The 25623-nt window shown below is 46.6% G+C and overlaps 2 long non-coding RNA genes across 2 annotated transcripts, besides 3 other annotated features; both read right to left on the reverse strand.

The window, feature by feature from the left end:
- Positions 1-668: 668 nt before the first annotated feature.
- Positions 669-20777, reverse strand: LOC107986464 (uncharacterized). The gene is made up of 3 exons (XR_001742937.1): positions 20655-20777; positions 1166-1282; positions 669-1051 (listed from the first exon to the last, which is right to left on the reverse strand). It is a non-coding gene; the product is annotated as an uncharacterized LOC107986464 (long non-coding RNA).
- Positions 5558-6165: an enhancer, noted in NCBI's record as "H3K27ac-H3K4me1 hESC enhancer chr5:153338304-153338911 (GRCh37/hg19 assembly coordinates)". NCBI's record gives its function as "activates a minimal SCP1, AML or CMV promoter by ChIP-STARR-seq in primed H9 embryonic stem cells {active_cell/tissue: H9 hESC(primed)}" and the evidence as "EXISTENCE:reporter gene assay evidence [ECO:0000049][PMID:30033119]".
- Positions 6166-6772: an enhancer, noted in NCBI's record as "OCT4-NANOG-H3K27ac-H3K4me1 hESC enhancer chr5:153338912-153339518 (GRCh37/hg19 assembly coordinates)". NCBI's record gives its function as "activates a minimal SCP1, AML or CMV promoter by ChIP-STARR-seq in naive H9 embryonic stem cells {active_cell/tissue: H9 hESC(naive)}" and the evidence as "EXISTENCE:reporter gene assay evidence [ECO:0000049][PMID:30033119]".
- Positions 6773-7379: an enhancer, noted in NCBI's record as "OCT4-NANOG-H3K27ac-H3K4me1 hESC enhancer chr5:153339519-153340125 (GRCh37/hg19 assembly coordinates)". NCBI's record gives its function as "activates a minimal SCP1, AML or CMV promoter by ChIP-STARR-seq in naive H9 embryonic stem cells {active_cell/tissue: H9 hESC(naive)}" and the evidence as "EXISTENCE:reporter gene assay evidence [ECO:0000049][PMID:30033119]".
- Positions 20778-20847: 70 nt separating the features above from the next.
- Positions 20848-24003, reverse strand: LOC107983980 (uncharacterized). Its single transcript, XR_001742534.1, has 3 exons — positions 23869-24003; positions 23077-23170; positions 20848-22707 (listed from the first exon to the last, which is right to left on the reverse strand). It is a non-coding gene; the product is annotated as an uncharacterized LOC107983980 (long non-coding RNA).
- Between the last annotated feature and the right edge of the window lie 1620 nt (positions 24004-25623).

Genomic DNA, 25623 nt, shown 5'->3' on the forward strand with positions numbered 1-25623 from the left:
TTGAAAGGTCCTTAAGAATTTCCAGAGTTGTTTTGGGCTTTTTATTTTTTTTCCAAGGGACTTGGGAGAGGCATGATGGTCAGGGATAGGAAACCTTTCCATCTATCCAAATAAAATGGCTTGTTTCTGAGGGAAGAGAGATTAGAGGAAAGCTCAGAGGGCTGGGGCCAGGAAAATAACTTTGAAACTTAAAATAGATGAATTCAAATAAAGATGAATCAGAAACACAGGATTAAATTTTTCTGAGGCCTCCAATTTAGCAGGAAATGTGCTGGATAAAATAGATTTGGATTTGATTTATCAAATGCAAAATATTTTTTTCTTTTTAAAAAAGTGGGTAAGATTCTGAGTATACTCCAAGCCCTCTCACTATCAAAATCAAGCACCACCAGGCAGCCATTGCCCATGAGTCAGAGTCAGGTTAAAGCCGGATGCCTGGCTGAGTCCCTCCAGAGCTAGCATTTTCCAGTGGATTGCCATGTTAATCGGCATAAGAAACAGTAGGGGTGTAGAAGCAAGAATTCCAGGCTGAAAATCAAGAGACCTGGTTCTAGCCCCAGTTCAACCAGATGACCTTGGCAAGTCCTGGGCCCTGGACCTTCCTGACCCTCCATTTCCCCGAGTTTAAACCTGAGGGCTTGAGCCTACATGATCTCAGTGGTCCCTTTCTAGGTCTTATATTTTATAGTTCTCCAGTGAATATCAGCAGTTTCCAAAATGGCTTCCACCAAGCACTGATCCTGCAAGATGCTCAGTGGAAAAGCAGTTCAGTGGTCCCATTTGTTGGTAAAGACTGCATATGTGAGCTTCCCCTTGAGATTTAAAAAGCTTAATTTAATTCAACCAATGAGTTCCCAAATCTTATACCGTACACTCTTTTTTTAAATGTACTATTACCCTGTGAAATGTATTTCGGGAAACAGTGACAGTAAAAGTCCATCCTTCCTTCCTTCTCACCTCTGGGGTTTTGTCATCAATGGTGTCTCTTCTCCCCACTCACATCAGAACTTGGAGAGCTCCATTTGACACGGGAAACCCTGAGGACTCTGCCCTTAATTAAAGGAGCATAAAGCAGCAAGTTAGACAGTGGGCAGGCAGAGGCAGACGTGGGCTATCTGTGTTTGCAAACAGAACCAGGGCTAAGATGGCAGAATGATGAACTCACTGTGTATTGATGTTTTGCCCTTCATGCTATGGAGAGGCTGCAGGTGCATCCCTCTCCCTGAACATCACCGTAGAGGTCCTTGCAGCATGCTCCCTTTCCTCAGGGGCTCAGGTGTTTCTGGACAAATCGAAAGAGCAGCAAGACCATCAGAAGAGCAACTCCCCACTGGGCTGCTGTTTTGGAAAAACCTAACCTCACTGAGGGGCTGCCTTAGTCTTCTCAGGCTGCCACGATAAAATACCACAGACTAGGTGCCTTAAACAACAGAAATTCATTTTCTCACTTCTGGAGGCTAGAAGTTCAAGATCAACGTGCCACCGGGGCTTGTTTCTGGTAAGGCCTCTCTTCCTGGCTTGTAGAGAGCCTTCTTCTCACTGTGTCCTCACATGAACTTTCCTCTGTGCATGGGTGAGAGAGACCTTTGGTACTTTTCCTATTCTACAAAGACACTGATCCTATTAGATTAGGGTCTCACCATAACCTCATTTACCCTTAATGATCTCCTTAAATGCCCTATCTTCAAATACAGTCACCTTGGGGGATTAGGGCTTCAATGTAGGAATGTGGAGGAGACAAAATTCAGTCCATAAAACAGGGAGATTCCTCTGGATTGCTACAGAGAGGGAAGGAGAGATGTGAGTTTGGGAGTTTAAGAAGCAGAAAGAGTCAGAGGAAGAAGCAAAAGAAATGTCTTCAAGGGCTAAGTGGATGAATGACTGTAGTCTGTGGGTATATCCTGCTCCTTGCAGAGCCCTAGGAAGTGCTAGGACATCAAAGGGGAGGTTGTGGCACATCTGGAGAGGCTGTGCCCTGACACCATGCATGACTCCATGGGCCAGCTTGGCACAGAAGGCACAAAGCCACCTGCAACGAGGTCACATAGATTTGGGCAAGGAATGACTTGTGTGGACACAAAGTCCAGGCTGCCCACCAAGTGCACAAGACCTCAGGACATTTTCCCATGCTATGGAATAAGAAAGAGCCCAGGAATGACAGAAATTTATTTTCCCACCATCCATAACGATGAAATCTTGCAGCAGATTAAGTTTGTTTTAGAGAAATAAAATAAACATGGCCCACACTTTGCATTTTGGAGGAAATTTTACAGCTGACATTCTGATGTCACTAGTTGTAAGCAGGATGGGTGGGAGGCCAGGCCTCTAAGATCCAGTCCAGATATTGGTAAAAAAGATTTGGCAGATTCCAAGCAAGGGAGGGCCAGCTAAAAGTTATTAGACAGGATTTGTATTGATAAGCAATGCAGTCCAACCTGACCCCTTCAGGACATCTAGGCCCCAATAATTCACCCTGTTTTGCCCCTCTTGTTGACTTGATGAGAGGTATATTAGTTTCTTGTGGTGGCTATAACAAAATATCACAAAGTTGATGGCTGAAAACAACAGAAATTTATTTTCTCACAGTTTTGGAGGCCAGAAGTCCAAGATCAAGGTATTAGCAGGCGTGCACTCCCGCCAGAGACTCTTGTAGGGGGCTCTGTTCTTTGCCTCTTCCAGATTCTGGTGGCTGCCAGCATTCCTTGGCTTAGGGCTGCATCCCTGTCTCTGTTTTCACAACACCTTCTCCTCTTCTGTGTGTCTGTCTCAAAATTTCCTCTGCCTCTCTTATAAGGACACTGTGATTGTATTTAGAGTCCATTCAGACAATCCAAGATAAGCTGCTTCTCTTGGGATCCTTAACTTAATCACAACTTTTGCAAAATAAGGTAACATTCACAGGTTCCAGTGAGTTGGCATGGATATCTTGGTGAGGGGCTGGTATTTTCAGTAGACCACAGGAGGGTCAAGGCCATGGGTAGCTTAGCCAGGTAGGGCTCATTCCACCACCAGACAAACCCACCACCACAGCCCCTAGTATGAGGCCTGCCACACAGTGGGCTCTTAATGTTTGTGAAATGAAGACTTTGTTGGATAAGGGCCAATATGATGAGAACTAGAGCTATCAGCTGGGCTTACCCTTGAGAGGACTTCACCCAGTAGAACCCAAATTTTTAGATTCTCTTTGACTAGATGAACTTACACACAAACACAAAGCAGAGAGTGGGGGTGGGATATGCATATTCAGGTATCCACATAAAACTTCCAGCTTTTTCAATTGCCAAGTGAGGAGAGTAAAAGAAAATGTCATTTATTTTAATAGTCATTTCATAAAAGAAAGAGCATTTTAGCACCAAAAGGAAGATCATTCCTTTAGAATAAAGGACAGTGTTTAAAATTAAATAAATCCAGCCTCATTAAAAATTCACTTTGCAGTTCTTTTTTTTTCTCAGCTTGCCACAAATGAAATTCCATCACAGACCTACACCAGTTTGCAAATGGGCATTTGAAAGCAGCTGCAGGGAAAAAATTTTGGAAGGGAAAAAGCCACTTCATTCTAGGAATAAGGAAGAGAGTATCTGTCGTTGGGAGAGTCTCCCCCTCCCCTAAATGCCCCAAAGGCCATCAGAACTCCAAGGCTTTATCCTATGACCCTTTCTCTGCCCATAACACAGCCACTGCAGCCTTCTGCCAGGACCCACTGAGAGTGAACACAAGGGAGCCTCTTGAGAGATGCCCGCTGTGGCATGAGACTTGCTGATAATAAACAACATGAACCCCTCCCTCTTGTCTCTGCCTTCCCGACTTCTCTCCCTCTGACCAACTCAATCTCTGCCCACTTCTGCCTCTTGCAAGACCTTTCCTCCTTTGGCACTGATACAAAGTCCGAGAGGCCTTTGCCACTTCAGTGCCTGTCACTCCCCATCCGCCAGCTTCACCAGATGGCCTGTGGTGTGTGTGGTCCTGTGCATATGCCCACATTCTTCAAGACCCTCTCGCCCAACCAGAAAGCTACCCCAGGGCTGTGCAAGCAGCATCACTTCCTAAGACCTAAAGTGTCTCTGTGCCTCATCTGTAGGGCCAGGTAAGGTGATCTCCACGTTTACTCCCCTATTGCTGGGGAAGCCAGCCAAGGAAGGATGCATGTTCTGCCTGGTGCAAAGTAACCATGGGAGCTTCCCCGCTGGATTCCACAAAGTTATCAGGACATGTTGCAAATAGAAGGCCACTCGTGCCCCAAAGCCAAGTCTGACAAAGTCCCTCATGCCTGATAAGAAGTTCTCTCCTATTCGTGAGAAGAACTTAGGACCTTGTAGATTGCTGATTGACTTGGTGTTTGCACAGCAGTCTGGAGGACAAAAAAGACCAAATGCCTTAAACACAAGCCAGAGCCTTTGACTCAGTGAGGTCAATTCTAAAAATTCTAAGAAAACATCAGAGATCCATCCACAATTTAGGTATCAGGATGTTCATTACAGTTATATATGTAGTTTTGGGAAAATGGGAAATAATTGACACATTGGAATCTCTTGCAGCTAATAAAGGTTGCCCAGTAAAAGATTTCTTAATGACATTTAAATATAGTCACTGTGTAATGTCACTATATAATAATAAGTTGAGATATTAGTTGGTGTTTATTTTTACTATGTAGAAGAATCAGGAAAAATGGGAGCTGTTGTATTTTGTTCTCTCTGAGTTTTCTTCTCTCCTATATGTGACTGTGCTCACTGGTCTCAGGGGAGATACGTATTGCAGGGAAACCTGCTCTCTGGGTTTTTGTTCCAAATTCTAAATTCACTGGGGCAATTTGCAGAGGATAGGGAGAAACTATTGATGGGGAGAGACTGAGGTGAGAGAAGAGAGGGCAGGAGAAAGATTTGCGGGACTATCCCCTTGCCTCTCTTACCACCCAATCCCCTCTGCGCCACAGCCTGATGACGGTCCTCAGGGGAATGGTGGCAGTGTGTCCCAGGGCATTCCACCCTAAGTCCCAGCCCCCTCTCCCCATCTTGGCAAAGATTCTCTTGGCAAGCCTGGCACAGAAACTGCAGCATGCCCAACTTCAAGGGACTTTGCACATATGGCAATGACTCCACATCATGACACACACCAAGGGGCCAAGACAAGACTTGCACTATTTCCAAGCCAGTTCTAGGGAAACTCAAAGGGTGAACATGGAGAGCCCACCAATGAGACAGAGTAGGTGCATACAATCAGAAAATATTTGGTATAAAGAACTAACCTGCCTCTTCTTACATGTGGCATAAAATTCATACCAAGGATAAAAGCTAAGTGCAAAAATAAGTGTGGTCAGTATCTTCCTCATCTTGTATTTTTTAAATGGATGTATATTTATATAGACATACACATACTGGCTAAGATGTATTGACTGTTTACGAGGTGCTGAGCAGAATCCACTCACTGCCCTAACTCTCTAGAGAGCCCCATGAGGGACAATGCCATTATCCTCATTTTGCAGATCAGGAAACTGCGGCACAAGGAAACCAAGTCATTCACTTAAGGCTGTGAAACCAACGAGTATCAGAAAGAGGTTTTGAACTCAGGTCTTCTGACTCTAGGGTACCCCTCACCTCCTACAGCCCCCACTGTCAGTGTCACCCCGCTGTGAGTGCCCCTCTGCTGATTAAACTCCCAGAAGTATAGACAGTAAAAGGTTCCTAGTATAACCTTGGTGGTGAAATTACAGGAAGTATTAATTTTTCTCTGTGTTCTTGTCTACATTTTCTATTAAATACATATGCATTATTTCCACAATTAGAGAAAAATCCATTGTATTTAAAACAGAACAGAAAGGCCTTTGTGTTCTCTGAGACTTCAAGATGCTCCCAAAGCTCAGTATGGCCCCACGTGGGGAGTTAGTCCTCCTGCAGCTCAGCCCCTGCCCGCTCAGGATTCTGCTCCCTTGCTGGGCTCCTGCCCTTTGTGTCCAGGCTGGCTCTTGGGCCAGCAGGACTGAGTCCAGTTGCCTCTTTGGGGCCTGGGAGAGGGAGCCACATAGAGAGCTTAGCTGAGCAGCCTTCTCTCTCTCTTTGGAGAGCCTAAAAGGGAATGCAAAAGGCAGCTCTTCACAGGCATTTGGTCTCCCCCATCACCACTCGCAACCCTAAATCTGCTCTCTCACGCTATGGGCAGGCTCCTGGGGGCTGTCAGTCTGCAGAACAGTCAGCTGTGCAGGAGCGTCCCTCTGAGACCCAAGGCTGAGGGGCAGCAGGCCCTGACCCTAATATCAAGTCCCAGCCAAGGAGACAGACCTCTGCATGGACTAGAACTGGGAAAAGAGCCTCAGACTCTGCTGAGTGAGGACAGTCTACTGAGAGCTCCCTCAAAAGGGGAGCACACAAATTTCCTAATGATCAGAAACATGTGTGGACATTCCTGAGAATCCAGATCAGCCTCTGTAGATTGTAGATTCTCTGGGCAGAAAAGCCTTGGGAAGCTTAGCCCCCCACCATCCCATTTACCCTGGAGAGCCCTCCCGTCTGTTGCACTGTCCAGAAGCCTCTTCCCTCTCCTGGCTGGGATATCTTTCTAACTTGTAATGAAAGTTGCTCTCTCCACTTCTCAATGTGTAGTCTGTCTTAAGCACTCCATTCCAGGAATTCCAAGAGCCCAGGGGACTCCATTCCAGGAATTCCTGCCTCGGGAGCTTTGCACTTGCTATACCCTCTGCCTGAAACACTCTTCATAGGATGAGCTGGGCATCCCTGTGTCAGCTTGAAGTCACTCCTCCAGAGCCTCCTGACTGCCCTGAGTTGACAGCCAGGTCCTGAGCACAGCATATCCCTGCCAAAGGCCACAAACTCAAAAGAAGGAAACTGGCCCAGTGTAGGTGGACAAATGGTCACTGGCACTGGACTCACGGGCTGGATGATGAAGGGGAGTAGTGGAGACTGTATCAAACCGGAAAGCAGGTGCCCCATCCAAAGAGGGAAGCCACTGCACAGCCTAGCTTGGATGCTGCCTTGTAGAAATATAAACTGTGTGGCTGAACCTTCAGTTCAGACAGGGAAGAGAAGTCAGAAACCTGGACCTCCATGAGAACTCTTTAGGTTGTTTATATCTGTTGAATACTTCCATGCATGCATGTATACCATAGGCACCTACAAAGACTGCTTCCCTGGGGTGAGCTCCGGCACCCCAGCCTGAGCTTCCCCTCACCCTGGCAGCTCCTGGTCCCTCACCCCACACCCATGGCCACGTCTTACTCCTCTCACACCTATCCTCAGCCCTGCACAGCCAGGCCTTGCCCCTCTCACCCCTGTCCTCAGCCCTGCACAGCCAGGCCTTTCTCCTTTCACACCTGTCCTTAGCCCTGTGCCCCATGCCCAGCGTGTGCCTGATTGTCCTGGCTCTGGCCTTACCAACACAAGGGGCTAATGTCCCCACCTGTAACCAGAAAGAAGGAAAGAGCCCAAGGCCCCAAGAGGGTTGCAAAGGCTGCCAACCCCATGTGAGTGCCCGGCAGCCTCTATTGCCAAATCACCAGGGAACACAGACAAATGCCACCCCCGCCCCTTGAGTTGGTGAGAGCTATTTCCCACCACATCCTGTCCTCCCACCCACAATCTGCAAACCAGCATGTGTGCCTCCATTTCACTAATTGCAGGCTGACTGATGGGGCTGTAACAGCATTCTGGCTTCTGGGTACAGGCAATCAGAAGCCAGGCTGGAGCCTCGGCAAGGTACTGCCTGGACCCGAATGGGAGCTGACACCTCCCCAGTTCCATGAGCCCTGGGGCCCTTTACCACATAGACTAGAACTGATCCTAACATCTTCCCCAGCTCTGGAGCTCAGCTCCTAAATTCCCCGGGAAGGGACTTCCTGTTAGAACAAGGCTATCAATCTTCCGACCTCACCAGGCCTCTTCTGACAATCCAGAGACAGCTGAGATTCCAGCTGTGGGGGAGGTGGGAGGGAGATCATATGACCTTCTTCATTGATTAGTCAGATAAAGTGGTGCCCCCGCCTTGATGCCTGCTTCCAGGCTGAAATTGATGTGCAAATTCTGGGGTTTGTTCATGAGTTCAACAGTTGCAACAAACACTGCTGACATGGATTGAGTGGTTACAGGGCACTAGGTGCTCTCCATATATTAGTTCATTTAATTATCACAGCAGCCTTATGAGATTGGCATTCACATCTGCTTTTTATAGATAAGGAAACTGAGGCACAGAGCAGTTAAGTAACAGTCTTAAAGTCACATGGTCTCTTAGTCCATTTGGGCTGCTATAACAAAACACTGAGTTGCTTATCAAAAACAGAGATTTCTTTTTTATTTTTTTTTATTATACTTTAAAGTTTTAGGGCACATGTGCACAATGTGCAGGTTAGTTACATATATACATGTGCCATGTTGGTGTGCTGCACCCATTAACTCATCATTTAACATTAGGTATATCTCCTAATGTTATCCCTCCCCCGTCCCCCCACCCCACAACAGGCCCCAGAGTGTGATGTTCTCCTTCCTGTGTCCATGTGTTCTCATTGTTCAATTCCCACCTATGAGTGAGAACATGCGGTGTTTGGTTTTTTGTGATAGTTTGCTGAGAATGATGGTTTCCAGCTTCATCCATGTCCCTACAAAGGACATGAACTCATCCTTTTTTATGGCTGCATAGTATTCCATGGTGTATATCTGCCACATTTTCTTAATCCAGTCTATCATTGTTGGACATTTGGGTTGGTTCCAAGTCTTTGCTATTGTGAAGAGTGCTGCAATAAACATACGTGTGCATGTGTCTTTATAGCAGCATGATTTATAATTTTACTTTGGAGTTCTGGGATACATGTGCTGAACGTGCAGATTTGTTACATAGGTATACATGTGCCATGGTGGTTTGCTGCACCTATCAACCCATCATCTAGGTTTTAAGCCCCAAATGCATTAGGTATTTGTCCTAGTGCTCTCCCTCCCCTTTCCCCCAACCCGCTAACAGGCCCAGTGTGTGATGTTCCCTTCCCTGTGTCCATGTGTTCTCATTGTTCAACTCCCACTTATGAATGAGAACATGCGGTGTTTGGTTTTCTGTTCCTGTGTTAGTTTGCTGAGAATGATGGCTTCCCGCTTCATCCATGTCCCTGCAAAGGACATGAACTCATTTTTCTTATGGTTTCATAGTATTCCATGGTGTATATATGCCACATTTTCTTTATCCAGTCTATCATTGATGGGCATTTGGGTTGGTTCCAAGTCTTTGCTATTGTAAATAGTGTTGCAGTAAACACACATACGCATGTGTCTTTATAGCAGAATGATTTATAATCCTTTGAGTATGTACCCAGTAATGGGATTGCTGTGTCAAATGATATTTCTGGTTCTAGATCCTGGATGAATTGCCACACTGTCTTCCACTATGGTTGAACTAATATACACTCCCACCAACAGTGTAAAAGCATTCCTATTTCCCCCACATCCTCTCCAGCATCAACAACAGAGATTTCTTTCTCACAGTTCTCATGGCTAAGAAGTCCAAGACCAAGACATCAGCAAATTCAGTGTGTGGTGAAGGCCAGCTTCCTGATTCATAGACACCCGACTTCTTGCTGTGTCTTCCTCACATGAGGAAGAGAAGACAAGAGGGATCTCTCTGGAGCCTCTTTTATAAGAGTTTTCATCCCATCCATGAGGGCTCAGCCCTCGTAAACCAATTACCTACCCAAAACCCCACAAGTATTCTCACATTGGGGATTAAGTTTTAATATGTGGATTTTGGGGGGACACAAACATTCTGTCTACAGCATATGGCTGATAAGTGACAGAATTGGTATCTAAATCCAGGCAGTCTGGTTCCAAAGCCTATACCCTTAACTGCTACCTTGTACTTATCGAAAATCTACTCTAGGTATTGCAGGCGTATATTAATTCACATGGAGACATCCTACTCATTGTTATTATTATTGATCTATTATTGAATGAAAAAGAAGTGGCAACAGAATGTATAAGTTTGATCCTTTTGGGAGAAAAAATATATATGAATATATCATTGCAACAGCTAGAACATAAAAAGTAATGTAATGTGACAAGGTGGTGGAGGAGGGTGGCTACAAGTTTACACTTGAGAGTCAGACAGACCTCAGCTGAATCCAGGAAGCCCCAGTCTCTCCCTGTGTAACTATGTCCAGCAATCACTTGTCCTCACTAAGCCTCAGTTTCCTCATCTGTAAATGAGAGGCTGAACCTAAAATCATCAGTGTACAGATCAAACACAAAAGACCATCTAGTATGTTATTCCATTTATATGAAATGTCCAGAAAAGGAAAACTGCAGAGACAGAAAGTAGATTAGTGGCCACCTGGGGCTGAGGGTAGGAACTAGGATTAACTGTAAATGAGCCTAAGGGGTTTTACTGCGATGATAGAAATATTCTAAAACTGGACTATGCTGATGGTTGCACAACTTTTTAAACTCACTAAAAAAACTCTGAATTGAAATGATTAAGGAATTAAAATGGATGGACTTCATATATGGAAATTACACCTCAATAAACTTCTAAAAAATTATGTAAAACTGCTATTACATAGTAGGCCCTCAACAAATAGAGGTGGTTATTACCATTACAATTGTTAATGGAACTATTAACAGGTTTAGAAAGTGGTATTCCCAATAAATTAAAACATTTTTGCTTATGCTTATCTGTAATTTTTACACTTGTACAAGAAATGTATTTCTTATACAATAAAAAGAGAAAGGGAAAAAATCAATTCCATTAAAATATCATGGAAGGAAAGGATCCTATTATCATGGGAATGATTTTAATTTTCCTCCCTTAGCTTATTTTCCATTTTGCAACAATGAATGTGTACTGCTTGGATAAAATAATGGATTATAGTTTTTCATAAATAGTTTATTTTATATTCCATCTTTTGCTAGACACCAGGCAGCATATAAGGTGTTCTGAGAGGTTGCCCCCTAGGGTCTTGCCGTCTAGAGTGGAGGCAGGAGAGATAAATGGCCGATCTGGAAAGTTGGAGAACAAGTAGTTCATGCTAAGAAACCAAATGAGTTGCCCCCAGAAAGGCTAGCGGACCCCAAAGAGGAGGAATGCGCTGGCTCAGGGCCACCCATGCTCTCCTGCGGCAAGCCTGGAGCAGGGCCTCGGGAGAAAGCCAAAGAGGAGGAATGTCTACATACTCATAAATATGAATTGAGCACTACCTCCATGCCAGACCCTGCGAGGAGCTGGCGATGCATGGTGACAGGACTGACAAGGTCCCTGCTCTGCGATGCCACACCCCCCGGGCATGGAGGGGTGTCGAGACCCTGCCGCTTCAGCTTGGCTCTGAGCACAGCATGCACCAATTATCCTTTGTCTGGTCGATGTGCTGGTGCCTGGGGAGGGTGGGGAGGTGGGGAGCCTCCCCAGGGATTCCCTGCTGCCCAAGCCCTCATCCACAGCTGGGCAAGGGCAAGAATTAGAGAAGGCCCAGAATTACAACAAGTCCTGGGTTCTCATCCTGGCACTTGGTTCCACAGGAGTAAATCCCTTCCTTGCCGAGACGTCAGTTTCCTCATCTGCATAAAAGAGAGTGTAATGGTCACGCGCCTCCGCAGATCTGTAGCCAGAGCTTCTAGGTTCAAGCCTGGCTCTGCCACATACCCAGCAACTTGACCTTGGCCAACTTTCTTAGCCTCTGAAAGCTCCAGTTTCCTCTTCTGAGAAAACGGGTGAATTGCTAGCACCTAACCCAGGGAGGTTTGTGGGGATGGGGAGGACTGAACAAGGTAAAGCATAGAAAGCTCGGAACAGGGTGCCAAGCATATACTTGGCAAATGTAAACTACAGCTGCAGCTTACTTCCAAATCTACCACCGGATGGCTCTAGGGGATTCGGAATTCCTGGGGCATCCCAACCTGGAAGATTGTGAGGTAACAGCACCAGCTTAGCAAAAACATATCTAAAAGGATAGCTAGAATTTGGGAGGGACGGAGGGGCTATAAAACCGGGAGAGGAAAACAAATGATTACGTTCCTCCCATTAGCTTTGCACGCCCCTTACCCACATACTCAGTCCAGGGCTGACACCTGCTGGCTGAAGAGGAGCATTGCAAAGAAAAGAGACCTTTCCCACTGGCTGGGGGATCTGAAAGTAATGTTTAACCCCAGAGAGAAAAGACAGGTAGGAGCCTTAGATATGAGGATGAAGGGGCCTGGGATGTTTGCACTGGAAAGGTTTAGGTAGAAGGAATTTAGGCTGCCCTGGAGCTATGAGACCCAAGTTCAAATCCCAGCTTTTCTACTTACCAGCTGTGAGACTGGATAAACCATTTAACCTCCCCAGGCCTCAGTTTGCTTATATATGAAACGGGAATAGTAGTGTCTCATTCTATGGTGAAAATGCACATAAAGTGCCCGACAGAGTTGGTGACTCCGTAAAGGTTACTTTTCCCTCTGGATGTCTCCACCTCACTCCTGGGATCTCAAAGGTGAAGTACTTTGCAGGGGTCCTCAAACTTATTTATGTCACCATCCCCAAGTGCCTATCAAAAACACAAATGCTCAGGCTCCCCTGATGTTGCTGTGGATCAGCTCTCTAGGGATGACAGCCTAGGTGTCTGTGTTGTACCAAACTCCCAATCCTTATGCCCCTCCAAGTTTGAGAGCCTCCAGAATCGTGTGAGAGCACCAGGCTAGGAGTCTAGCTTTGTCTCTCCCAGGGGCATTCCCTTGGCCTGTCTCCATTTACCCACCCACTAAATGTGGCCAGGAGTCCTGCCTGGCATGCTTCTCAACAGGGAGGGTGCTTTGGAAACTGTGATGCTAATGCTGAAATGAAAAAGCAGGAGTGTCCAGAATAGTAAGGTACTTGCCCTCATGGGGTCTCTCCTTGAGAATGAGCTTAGGAGATGAAGCCACTAAAGTCAGGGTGGAGATGGAGGGAGATGATGGAGAGAAGAGGGGAAGCTGGCATAGCTCCTTCAGGGCATCCAGGGGCTGGCTGTGCAGGAATGGATGATCAGGAGCTGGTCACCCATGAGCTGTGTGACCCATCCCAGCAAGAAGAGGCAGGCAGCAAGGAGAGAATTCCAGCTGTGGGACCCACAGGAGCCCCCACAGTAGAAGCCCGTGGGGAGAGTGAGAAAGAATCCTGGCTGTGCCTAGAGCGGCAGCCCCTCCACTCCCCTGGGCCCCTCCCAGGTTGCCTTCCTCTCCCCTCCTGGGTGCCTATAACCTGGCTAGACTCACAACCTCTACACCCTGGAGGCAGATGGGGTCTTTGTTTTGTGTGTGTGTGTGGACAGTAAAATCAAGGCTTGGAGAAGAGAAAGGAGTCCCTTGCCCAACTTCTTAATGAATCCTCAGCCCAAACCTCCCTAAATTTTCATGACAATAACAGAGGAGGCTGGTCAAGGATTATTATTTCTGTCACACAGAGGAGAAATTCAGATCAGAGATGACATGTAATTTATCCAAGAACACACAGGAGAGTTGAGCCTCAGACTAGGCTATCATTACTACCATGCCGCACATACTCATTCCTGCTGCAGATAAAAGATTGGGCCAGTGACCCCCTGGGTCACTTCCAACTCTATATTTTCTAATTCCAGAACTGCAATCTATTCTTTCAAATTTATGTCTTTCTGGTTCCCCCAATGAACCATCAGCTCGAACCAAAATGGCCTCTTCTTGATTCCCTAAACAAACCTGAGACTTCCCACTTATTTTTCTGTTCCAAACCTCCCCTCACCACACCCAACCACACCCTCATTCTTCCATATTTGTGAACATTCTCCAGTCCTTCAAAGCCCAGCTCAATTCTCACCTGCTCCAGGAAACCTTCTCTAATCCCCCCAGTGAAAAAATAATATCGACTTGTGTGAACAGGGAAATGGAATCAGAAATACAAGCTATTTAATAAGCATCCCTACCTGGCGCTGTGCTATGAAACACATATACATGTATTATACGCCTTCTATACATGTACATTATTTGCAGTACAGTTAACCCTTGAACAACGTGGGTGTTAGGGAGCCAACCCCAGGAACAGTCAAAAATCTCTGTCTAACTTTTGACTTCCCCCAAAACTTAACTGCTAATACCCTACTGTTCACTAGAAGCCATACGGATAACATAAACAGTCTATTAATACTTTTTTTTTTTTTTAGATGGAGTCTCTCTCTGTCACCCAGGCTGGAGTAATTGGCACGATCTCGGCTCTCTGTAACCTCTGTCTCCCGGGTTCAAGCGGTTCTCCTGCCTCACCCTCCCAAGTAGCTGGGACTACAGGTGTGTGCCACCACGCCCAGCTAATTTTTGTATTTTTAGTAGAGACAAGGTTTCACCATGTTGGTCAGGCTGGTCTCGAACTCCTGACCTCATGATCCGACTGCCTCATCCTCCCAAAGTGCTGAGATTACAGGCAGGAGCCACCATGCCTGGCCAATTAATACACATTTTTATGTATTACATGTATTATATACTGTACTCTTACCCTAAAGTGAGCTAAGGAAGAAAAAAATATATTTACTACTTATTATGTGGAAGCTGATCATCATAAAAGTCTTTATCCTCATCTTCACATTGAGTAGGAGGAGGAGGAGGAGGAAGAGGGACTGGTCTTGCTGTCTAAGAGGTGGCGGAGGTAAAAGAACATCTGAGTGTAAGTGGACCCGCACAGTTCCAACTCGGAGTGGTGAAGGGTCACTTGTGCATGATGTACATGTGTATATATTATCTCATTTCATCTGCAAAATCTCAACAAATAGTTGAGAACAAAGAGTTAGCCTGTCTTACAGATGTGGAAACCAGATCTCAGAGAGCTTATGTGGCTCACTTAAGGTTATCTGGGAGAGAAAGCCTCAGGAGGAAAATATTAAAACCCAGTGTAGGAGAGGGTTGGGGTGTGACAGGGAGGCAGGTTTCAGAGCAACATGACAAAGAATGTGGAGCAAGCAAGAAACTAAAAATCCTTGAGAACCTGTGGTCAGAAGGCTCCAGGTCTAAAACACCAGGTGGGAGAGTCATTTCCCTCACGCAACAGCAGTGTGTTAATTCACACAGCACCTTCATCTGCTTTATCTCATTTAAAAACAATCATCTTTTTAGATAGACAACATCATCATTCTACAGAGAGAGAATCAAAGGCTTGAGAAAATCCTAACCAAGCTCACACAGTCTGTAGGTGAGACTGGAATATGAAGCAAGCTGGATTTCAGAATCTTTGTTCTTTCTGATACACAACTGTATTATTTACAATATCGCCTAGAAATGTTTGCATAGAAGCCTGCCTCTACTCTTGGTTCACCCTCTGTTTGTCACAGGGCCTCAGGAGCCACCATTCTGCATGTCAGTGCACCCTCTCAATGCTCATTCAACTCTGACATTCCAGGACTCTTTCGATTTTGTGAAAAGCAGCTTGTTTTTTTGATCTTCAAGAGCTTCAGATGAAAATAAAATGATGTCTAGAGTAGCTCACCTTTCAGTAGATCCATGGATAGGTGCCAAAACCAGGCGCTGGATAAAAAGAAAGCAGAGCAGGGAGAAAAAGGGCTCAGAGCAGGAGTGAACACCCATTCATTCAGCAGAGGGCTGTGAGTCCCTCCGCAGGTTGCGGGTACTCTGAGGACAGACCGACGCACCCTGCCCTCCCGGATTCCCAGACGCAAACGCCTCCTCCTCCCTCACCAATTTGCAGAGTGTTGGCCATGGAGGAGGAGAGCACAGAAGGGCACTTCCTCCCTTGGGTCCTGATGGTCAAATGAGTGGGCCACGTTCAAGCTCTGAGAATCTCAGCAGCTGCTGTGGGCTCCACCACTCTCAACCACTGGAGAGGGGCCAAGGGGGCCAAGGTACCTGCCAAGGGCTCACCTGCTGCCACTGCCCTGGAGAGTCCTGCCCACTCTTAACCACAAGCTCTACCTGTTACTACTTGTCACCCTCCCAAATCCAGCTGTGAGTGGACCTTTCCTGGGTGACCACCCCCGCCAGCATCCAACCTTTCCCCCCGATCCCCACAGCTGGAAATGAGCTTTCCCTTCTCCGTGGTTGCATCCTCCCTTTGTCCTCTCCCCCTTCCCTGTGTCTTCATCTGATCCACCCAAACAGATCCCAGTCCAAGAGTAGGTTCTGATTCCCTCAGGGATCCCTCCAGGGTCTAGCACCTTGTAGGTGCTAATAACAGTTTCTAAAACAATGAGTGAGTCATTGAGTGAGTGAGGGAAGTCAAGCAAGGACAAGCTCCATGGTCCTGATGCTGTAAAAGCAGCTGGTTGGTGACAGGCCATCCAAGCCACAGCATGTGGGTAGTTTGGGTCAGTCAGACTTGTCTACCTGAGACATCACCAGCAGGCAAGCCCACCAAATGCCAGTGAAGGAGAGCCAGATATCCATCCTCAGGGAGCCCTAAAAACACCGAGCAATTGTGGGCAATGGTGACTTCGTTATCTAATGGGTTCAGATAGTGCTTTCTCAAAGAAACTTTCATGAAAAAGGAACTAATTTTGAGAAGTGATCTGCAAGAACAGGGCCTGTGGTGAAATTTGTGTGGTGAATACAATTCTCTCCTTCTTATAGGCCCAGTGCCCCCAGCATCTTAACGCTCTGTGAGGTCATGGTGCAAGGCAACTGTTTAACTTCGAGTTTCTCACACTTACTTGACAGCTTCATTTTTCTTTAATAAAACCTATTTAACATCTCAAGAAACTAGTGTTCCAGTGGTCACAATCAGAAAATGGGAGGGAGCTGGCTTTTCAGACATTTTAGCTCTAAAGGAGGTAATTTATGATGATCTGGGAAGCCTTCCCTTCCTTCTTTTCCTCAGCTATCCTTCTGCCAGAAAAAATAAATAAATAAATAATGAAATAAAAATAAACCTATACTTTATAGGAATTACAGCCTTAAAGTAAAAGGACAAAATTACAATGGCAGATTTTGAGGCTCTGGCCAGCGACATGGGAAGGCAGAAGAACAGGGCCGTGAAATCTTTGTCCTCTGTCATTTACTGAAGATCTAACCTTCAGCAAGTTTCTTAACTTTTCTGGGCCCTAGGTCCCTGTTCTGTGAACGGATCAAATGAATTACTAAGTAACAAGTGCTTAGACCAGCACCTGAAAGATTCATAGCATCCAAATAAACTTCCATATTGTTAATGGCCTTTATTATCTGAAAAGATGTGAATTTAGTGATTTTTCCACGCACATGGTAACTTGAGGATCTCATGACTTAGTAATACAGTCCTTTATGTACATAATTGTGGAGCAAAATGGACAAAGGACAGAAGAGAGACAGTAGGCACTAGGAAAGTTTACAAAGGGAAGGACTCGTGTGTGCCTCAGGTTCACTGGGAGTGGGAAGGTTAGCTGGGTCAAGCATGAGCAGAGAGGAAAGTAAGTGCAGTCCTAGGGCAGGAAAAGCATCAGTCAGCAAAGGCCTGCAGGTGCCAATGAGCACAGCCCAAGCCTAATTAACTCTGCTCCATGTGAGCAGAGAGTTTGTTCCAAGAAGATTGCTGTTGACAAGACACCAAACCAACCACTGGGAGTTGGCGGCTTTGTTGATGTTTGGCTGAGGAATAGAGTCATCTCCAGGTCCTGGAGATAACGAGAAGTGACAGACGATCTGTTGAGCAGAATGGAGCATTTGCTTCCCCAGCTTGCAACATTTGCTTCCCTGCTGTATCTGTGAGGGCCCCTCCTCAAAGTCCCTCCAAGGCTGGGTTGGTTGAGAACCATGTCTTTGCAAGAAAAAGAAACCTACTGAGGCCCGTTCAAGAGTCAGAGTTTCTTGGGAAGATTTGGGGGTGTCTTGGAGAAGGCAAAAGCAAGAAGGTCAGCTGGGCCTTGGGAAAAACTGGAAAAACACCTAGTGCCAGGGCAGGCGCTCTGTCTCTGTCTCTCTGACTTTTTCTCTTTCATTATCTCTTTCTCTCTGAATCAATCTGGATTCTCTATTCCAGTCTCTCTCTCCCTGTGTGTCTGAGCTTATATTTCTTTGTCTCTCTCCATCTCTTTGTGAATGTGTTTTCCCTTTTTGCCTCCTCCCCCCATCTTTACTCAGTCTCTTGCTTCCTGTGTGTCTCTCTCTTCCTCCTCTCTTGTGTGTGTGTATCTGTGTTTCTGTGTGTCTCGCTCGGTGTCTTTCTCTCTGTTTCCCTGTCTCTGTGTGTGTGTCTCTGTGTCTTTCTCCCTGTTGAATGTATGTGATTTTCTCCCTGTCTCTCCCCATCTCCTCTCTCCATCCTCACCCTTTCTGTCACCACCTCAACCCTCGAGGTGGTGAGAGAAAGAAAATTACCACCTCAACCCTGGAGTCTACTTGACCTCTTAGTTCCAACGCCCAGTGATAACTCCCTTTCAAGATGACCATTCCTGGTCTAACAGTTTCAGCCAAGGAGAGTCACCAAGATAGCTTCAGGGGTCCATTCCTTCATCTAAGAAGGGGTCTGGGATGGACACTCACCCTAAAGTGTGGCTCCTACAGCAGGACAGAACTGCATGGTGAAAAGAGTACTCAATTCGAAGTCAGGTGATTGGGTCTCCTATTAGCACTGTGTGGTCTGAGGCCAGGAACTACCCTGCTGTGTCTAAAATATTCCAGCTAGAAAATGAGGAATTGGATAAGGTACCCTGTTACAAATACTTCTAGCCCCCCAAATTCTATGATATTCTACTTACAAAACAGGTATAGAGGCCAGGCGCAGTAGCTCATGCCTGTAATCCCAGCACTTCGGAAGGCCAAGGAAGGAGGGCAAATCACCTGAGGTCAGGAGTTCAAGACCAGCCTGGCCAACATGGCAAAACCCTATCTCTACTAAAAATACAAAAATTAGCCAAGCGTGGTGGCAGGCGCCTGTAATCCCAGCTACTCGGGAGGCTGAGGCAAGAGAATTGCTTGAACGCGGGAGGTGGAGGTTGCAGTAAACTGAGATTGCACCATTGCACTCCAGCCTGGGTGACAGAGAGAGACTCTGTCTCAAAAAAAAAAAAAAAAACATAGAGACTAGGAAAAACAGAGAACGTGGAAAATGGCAAGGAAGCAGAACATTTAAAAAAGAGAAAATCATGTCCTGTAAGCAAGAGTTGGTAAGAACTGTCTCTAGAGCAAGGGGCTGTTATTCCTGAGATGCCAGAGAAGGGGATCTGTGGTTCCTGAAGTTCAACGTGCCTCATCTGCAGAGGCTGTTTTAGGTGCAGATTCCCAGGTCCATCCCAGACGGTCTGATTCAGTAAGTCACCCCCAGTGACTCTGGTGCAAGGGGTCTCAGAACCACCCTTGAGAAATGCTGAGTGAGACTTTTCAAAGGATTAGAGCTGCCTTACTAGGAACTGGGCTTTCTGTGGAGGGCAGTCTTCTCCCTGCCTTTGAGGGCACACAAGAAAGGCAGGGCTACCCTTCTCATTCTCTATTTCTCTAGCACTCTGAAGTTCTAACAGAAACAAGACTGCACTGGGAGCTGAAGATCCAAGTGGGGAAAGGTTTCAATGTCTACCTCTTTCTCTGGGCTTCACTCTTTAAACTAGAGGCCATACACATCAGAGAAATGCAAATCAAAACCACAATGAGATACCATCTCACACCCGTTAGAATGGCAATCATTAAAAAGTCAGGAAACAACAGGTGCTGGAGAGGATGTGGAGAAATAGGAACACTTTTACACTGTTGGTGGGACTGTAAACTAGTTCAACCATTGTGGAAGTCAGTGTGGTGATTCCTCAGGGATCTAGAACTAGAAATACCATTTGACCCAGCCATCCCATTACTGGGTATATACCCAAAGGATTATAAATCATGCTGCTATAAAGACACATGCACACGTATGTTTATTGCGGCACTATTCACAATAGCAAAGACTCGGAACCAACCCAAATGTCCAACAACGATAGACTGGATTAATGTGGCACACATACACCATGGAATACTATGCAGCCATAAAAAAAGATGAGTTCATGTCCTTTGTAGGGACATGGATGAAGCTGGAAACCATCATTCTCAGCAAACTATCACAAGGACAAAAAACCAAACACCGCATGTTCTCACTCATAGGTGGGAACTGAACAATGAGAACACATGGACACAGGAAGGGGAACATCACACATTGGGGCCTGTTGTGGGGTGGAGGGAGGGGGGAGGGATAGCATTAGGAGATATACCTAATGTTAAATGACGAGTTAATGGGTGCAGCACACCAACATGGCACATGTATATATATGTAACCAACCTGCATGTTGTGCACATGTACCCTAAAACTTAAAGTATAATAAAAATATACACATATTAAAAAATAAATAAATAAATAAATAAATAAACTAGAGGCCATACATCTTATCTCCAGAGAAGAGAAGGGAGGATACAAGAGTCAATTAATCCTCCTGTGCCTCTTCCATTACAGCTGAGCTTTTAAAGACTGGACTCTGGGTCAGTGGGAATGCCTCCGAGATACGTTCTGGGCTGAAAAATAAAGTACTACCCTCTCATTGAAGCCTTCAAATTCCTCCAGCTTCCATGCATCTCCCTCCTCTGAGGATCCATAGCACCTGGGCTAAGTTGGTACCAATCAGCACCTGGGGTTTTATGTGGCTTGAGAAGAACCCAGACATATCTGAATTTCTATTTTAACAGGGGACTCAAGAATTCACAAAGCACCTTCACACCAACCATCCATTTAATCTCAGTAATCTCATGGAGCTGATTGTGTACCTGATGGAAAGACTGAGGATCCAAGAGGCTGGGCTGGAAAAAGGGCAGAGCTGGAGGAGAATGTAGGCCTCTGCCTCCCTCTTCCTTCCATGTCCTCATTCCATTTCCTCCAGGAAAGCTGTGGCTTGGAGAGATGGGCGGGTGGGAGGGGAGCACTCCACCTCATGAGGGCTGGAGCTGGGACCAGGAGGGAGTGGGTTGTTGTGGTAGCAAGTGGATGGAGCAGTGTGCTTGTTAGGCTGATGGCCCTGTCTCAGAAGCAAGGGGAAGAGGTAATCAGCTGGGATAGAAAGCTGGGAGAAAGAGGAGGCAGCAAGACAGAGTGGGGGACAGTATGGATTTGGGTGTCAGGAAACCTGGAACCTACATGTGTGACCTGAAGCAAGACTCTACTTCTCCACAGGTGAAGGTTGCCTCAGTTTCTGCACCTGTACATTGAGGAGGTTACATTCACTGTTCTCCAATGTACCTTCCTCCTCTAACACTTGGGCTTGTCCATCACTGGCTGCCTCCCTGACTCTCTACCGAGCCACTATCAGCAGAAGGCTGAATAACATGCGCCAATATGACCCAAAGACCACAGAAATTCCCTAGACTTTTAGGATAACTCTGTTGCTGTCCTATTCCACTTCCCACCCACCACAGCCAGAAAGTTTCCTAGAAGCCTCAAAATTCTCAGGTCACACTGGATGGCAGGCAATGCTGCAAAAAGCTACAGTGACAAAAACTGACCAGAAGATGGAGCCAAATGCCCTGGAATCCGAAACAGTTTTATTTGTCGAATTTTTAATTCTAGGGCTACAGAGCAGAAACTAAAGCCACAAAGGCAGTAAGAGATGTACTCAAGGTCCCCCATCTGCTCAGGGGCAGGGCTGGGAACCACGCCAATCTCTGCGGTCCCACACGTAATTCTACAGTGTCTGTTTCAAAGGTATAGGTGGTTCTCTAGAGAGACCCAAAGTTTTCTTCTAGACAGAGGTTCCAGACTCAAGGTCAGAAAACTCAGGCTGCTTAGGGCAGTGGAAGGAGCACTGTGCTGGGAGTCAAGGGACCCTGGTCTGAGTCTGACCCTGCTCTGATTCCCTGTGTGACACTGAGCACTCTCTCCACCCACCCTGGGGTGACATCAGCCCTTTGGCCAGAGCTTGTCCTATGCCTCACCACTCAGTTCACTTCTGCCCTGGGATTTAGCAGCTCTGGGGCCCAACCCAGCTCTCCTATGACTCCTGACATGACCTCTGGCAAGTTCCTTCACCCTCCAGGACTCAGTTTCCCTGTGTGCTCTCAGAGTACTGGGTCCAAGACCACAGTCTGATGCCTTTTACCAGCACTCCTGCCAGCTCCTTGTCACTGCTGCTGCTGTCCGTCTCACTGCCTTTGTCCTCCTGCCAGGGAGACATCATGTCCACATGAGGGTCCTGGGGCTAGGCTAGGTCCTCCCACCATATCTGGAGCCCCCACTGCATTCAGAGGACCTCCCCCTTCCCCAGACCCAGCTAGGTATGGAACATGCACAGGGCACTAAACAGGAAAACAAGTTATTATAGGGAGCTACGCTGAGAAGCAATGACAGAGAAGTATGACCTGGGACAGTGAAGGAAACATGGCACTGGGGAAACAGATACTTTAGTCCAAATTCCGACAGTAGCTTTTAGAAGCCTACGGCCTTAACCTAATTCACCCTAAAATATAAACAGCTGCTATCAGATACTTTCCAGAGAGCGTGATAAAGGTAGAAGGAGGGAGAGGGCCCCAGGCATTGAGGAGCTGAAAGGAGAGGATAGAGGAGAAAGAAGCAACCAGAGAAAATCTGTGGGAGTGGAAGGGGAAAACTAACTTTTCCTACCTTAGGACATCTCCAAAGCTGCTCCAACCAGAAGGCAACGACACAGGTTAAAGAGATGTTTCCTTGGAAGATACATGTCCAGAGAGAAAGGAGAATGTTTTCTGGGAATACCACTTCTTAGACACCGGACTTAGACAAATGACTCTTTGATGGAGCGGGAACTCTTTCCCCAACTCTGCTCGGAATCAGCAGCCAAGTTCCTCAGCTCTGGAGAAAGGAACAGTGGCCATAAAGTCACCACTGCCCTATGAAGCCACAGTCCCTTTTCCCAGGCCTCTCAGCCCAACTTGTTAATTTCTATAGGTGGGTTTTGAATCCATCCATATAGCTATTTAATGTTGATTGGTTTATTCATGAAGCACCAAAGTCACTTCAGATGGCCAATAGCACTGTTCCTGGGTCCTCTTATCCCTGAGCAAAGCCAGCTTCTCCTCTTCCCAGGACACCTACTTACTAGGATCAGCCCGACCTGGGCAGCGCAGTCACTCCAGCAAGACATCCATACGGGCTGGTGGCTATGACCAATAAGCCTCACCTCCTGACTGTTCTGACCCAGTAGGGGTCCAGGAGACTCACCACCTTCTCCACCTCTGCTGCTCCTCACGGAGGTTACTCTGCAGCTTCCCCTTCTCTTTCCGCGGCGTCTTCTTGTAATCATCTTTGCCAAACCCTGGAGGGGATGATGGAGAGAAAACAGATTCAGGTGAGAGGCTGGCTTAACAACACAACCTGCAGTGATCAGGATCTGCTTCCTCTTTATCCACCTCCCATCCTCCCTCTCCTCACTCTTATAAGTGTATCAGGTTTTTTCAGCTTTCTTAAAACACTTTCACATCTATTATATTATTCAATTAGAGCCTCATTGCCACTTTCCAAGGTGGGCAGGGAAGGGATTAGGAACCCATTTTACAGAAGAAGAAACTGAGGTCCACAGAAGGAGGGAGACATTTCTAAAATGATACAAGAAAACTGTTGCCATGGGACTAGAACCTCAGACTCCTTCCTCCCAGTCCTGCCAAGTAGGGCAGGACTATGAATGAGGGAAACATCCCAGCTCACACATCAACATTGACTGGTGGTGCTATAGTTAAGAACACCCCAGGAAAGACCCGGAGCCCCTGCTAAGCACTGCACAGCCTGGGGTCAGCCTTTGGGGTTCCTGTGGGCTATCAGAATGGGTATGCGGTCACCTGATATAATGTAATGACACAAGCGTAACCAGATGATGCATGTACATATGACATGCATGAGCTAGTGCATCTGAAATTCAACAATTTACAGATGTAAGTTCCCCAGTGGCCATTTATTTCTGCTCATAGTTCGCATGGCCTCTGACCCCAGTATTGTTTATCTGTAGTTCCAGACTACCTGACAGACAACATTTTCTGTAGATCCTAATCCAGATTTCTGGCAACTCTGGAGATAGTTTCCTGCTGATAAGCCCCCTTCTTCCACTGCACCCCAAGTCACAGCCCCCTGAAGAACATGCCTAGGATACAGAGAAAACAATCTCATATAAGCAGGAACACAGAAACTCACACCTTAGGACAGAATTCGTCTCAACTGAGATGTATTGCTTCTGTGTACATCAACCTGAGAACAAAGAATAATAGCAGCTGACATCTTCCTGGGACATTCTGATACAGACAGCTGGTTTATGAACATTATCTTACCTGAGGAGCACTCAGCCCTATGAGATAAACATTGTTAGCCCATTTGATAAATGAAGAAATGGAGGCTCATAGGGGTTAGAGGAATTTCCCAAGCACTCACAGGGAGTCAGCGGCCACACAGAGTTCTTCAGATATCTCCCGACAAAAGACAGAGTTGGGTCAGGCCCAAGGTGGGGTACAGAATCAGGCCCCTTTGAAGCTGCATATACCTCCTTGTTCTCCTATCTTATGTCTCCCTCATCAAGGCCTTGGCCTCAAAGAGCCCACAAGCCTGAAGGGCTCCCCTCCATAGGGAAGGCTTCACCATGGTGCTCCGCACACAGACCCCCCCACAGGGAGGGTGTCTCCAGCCCGGGGAGCACAGGTTCCGGGGACCCACAGCCCTGATACCTTGTTTCAGAGGAGGGATGACAACCATCTAGAGTCTACACCTCTATTCTTCATAAATCCACCCAGCCCTGAACTCCACAAGCACAGCTGTGCTGGATGAGCAAGTGTGTTCCTTCTCAGCCTGGATTGTTTTATTCTTTCCTAAGAATGCCGACACCTCCCCGCTGCCACCTTCAACAGAAAACTTGCCCAGAGCAGAGAGCACAGGGCATTAAAAATGGGACTGCAGATGGTGAGGACTGGAAGAACAGTTATATAAGGGAAAACTGAGGCCCAAGGAGGCAGGGAGGTGCTCAAAATCTGTTAGGGAGTTGGAGAACTCAGGGAAGAACCCAGGTCCCACACTTGGCTATGCATCTGCTCAGCCCCCCGACATCTCTGGATCACAGGAATCAGTTCACAGCCCCCTTGACTTTCCCAACTACTCTTTTTCTCCTCCACAGGGAGTCTGCCGTCTGATCTGAAGACCACTCAGCCTGAGTTTGGAAGGAGGCATCCATGCCTAGTGAGAAGGTGAGATAAAGCCCTGTGCAGTGGCTCACACCTGTAATCCCAACACTGGGAGGCCAACGTGGGTGGATTACTTGAATCCAGGAGTTTGAGACCAGCCTGGGTGACACGGTAAAACCCGTCTCTCCAAAAAATACAAAAATTAGCCAGGCTCAGTAGTACAAGCCTATAGTCCCAGCTTCTCAGGAGGCTGAGGTGGGAGGATGGCTTGAGCCCAGGAGGTTCAGGCTGCAGTGAGCCAAGATGGTGCCAAAGCACTCCAGCCTGGGTGGCAGAGTGAGACCTCATCTCAAAAAAAAAAAAAAAAGAAAAGAAAAGAAAGGGAGATGAGTTTCTCACAGCACAGCCAACTCAGAGGTATAGGTGCTCTCTTCTAACTTGTCTTTGACTCACAAACTCTCGTGGTGTATAAATATCAAGTCTCACTGCCCATCCAAGGGTAGAAGAATTGGACCTTCTCCATGTGGCCCTAGTAGGTAGAATTAGGACCAGTGGGTAGAATTTATATAAAGGCAGATTCTAGCTCCATATAAAGTATAACTTTATTATA

This window comes from Homo sapiens, chromosome 5 (genome assembly GCF_000001405.40).
Source record: "Homo sapiens chromosome 5, GRCh38.p14 Primary Assembly".
Classification (NCBI taxonomy): domain Eukaryota; kingdom Metazoa; phylum Chordata; class Mammalia; order Primates; family Hominidae; genus Homo; species Homo sapiens.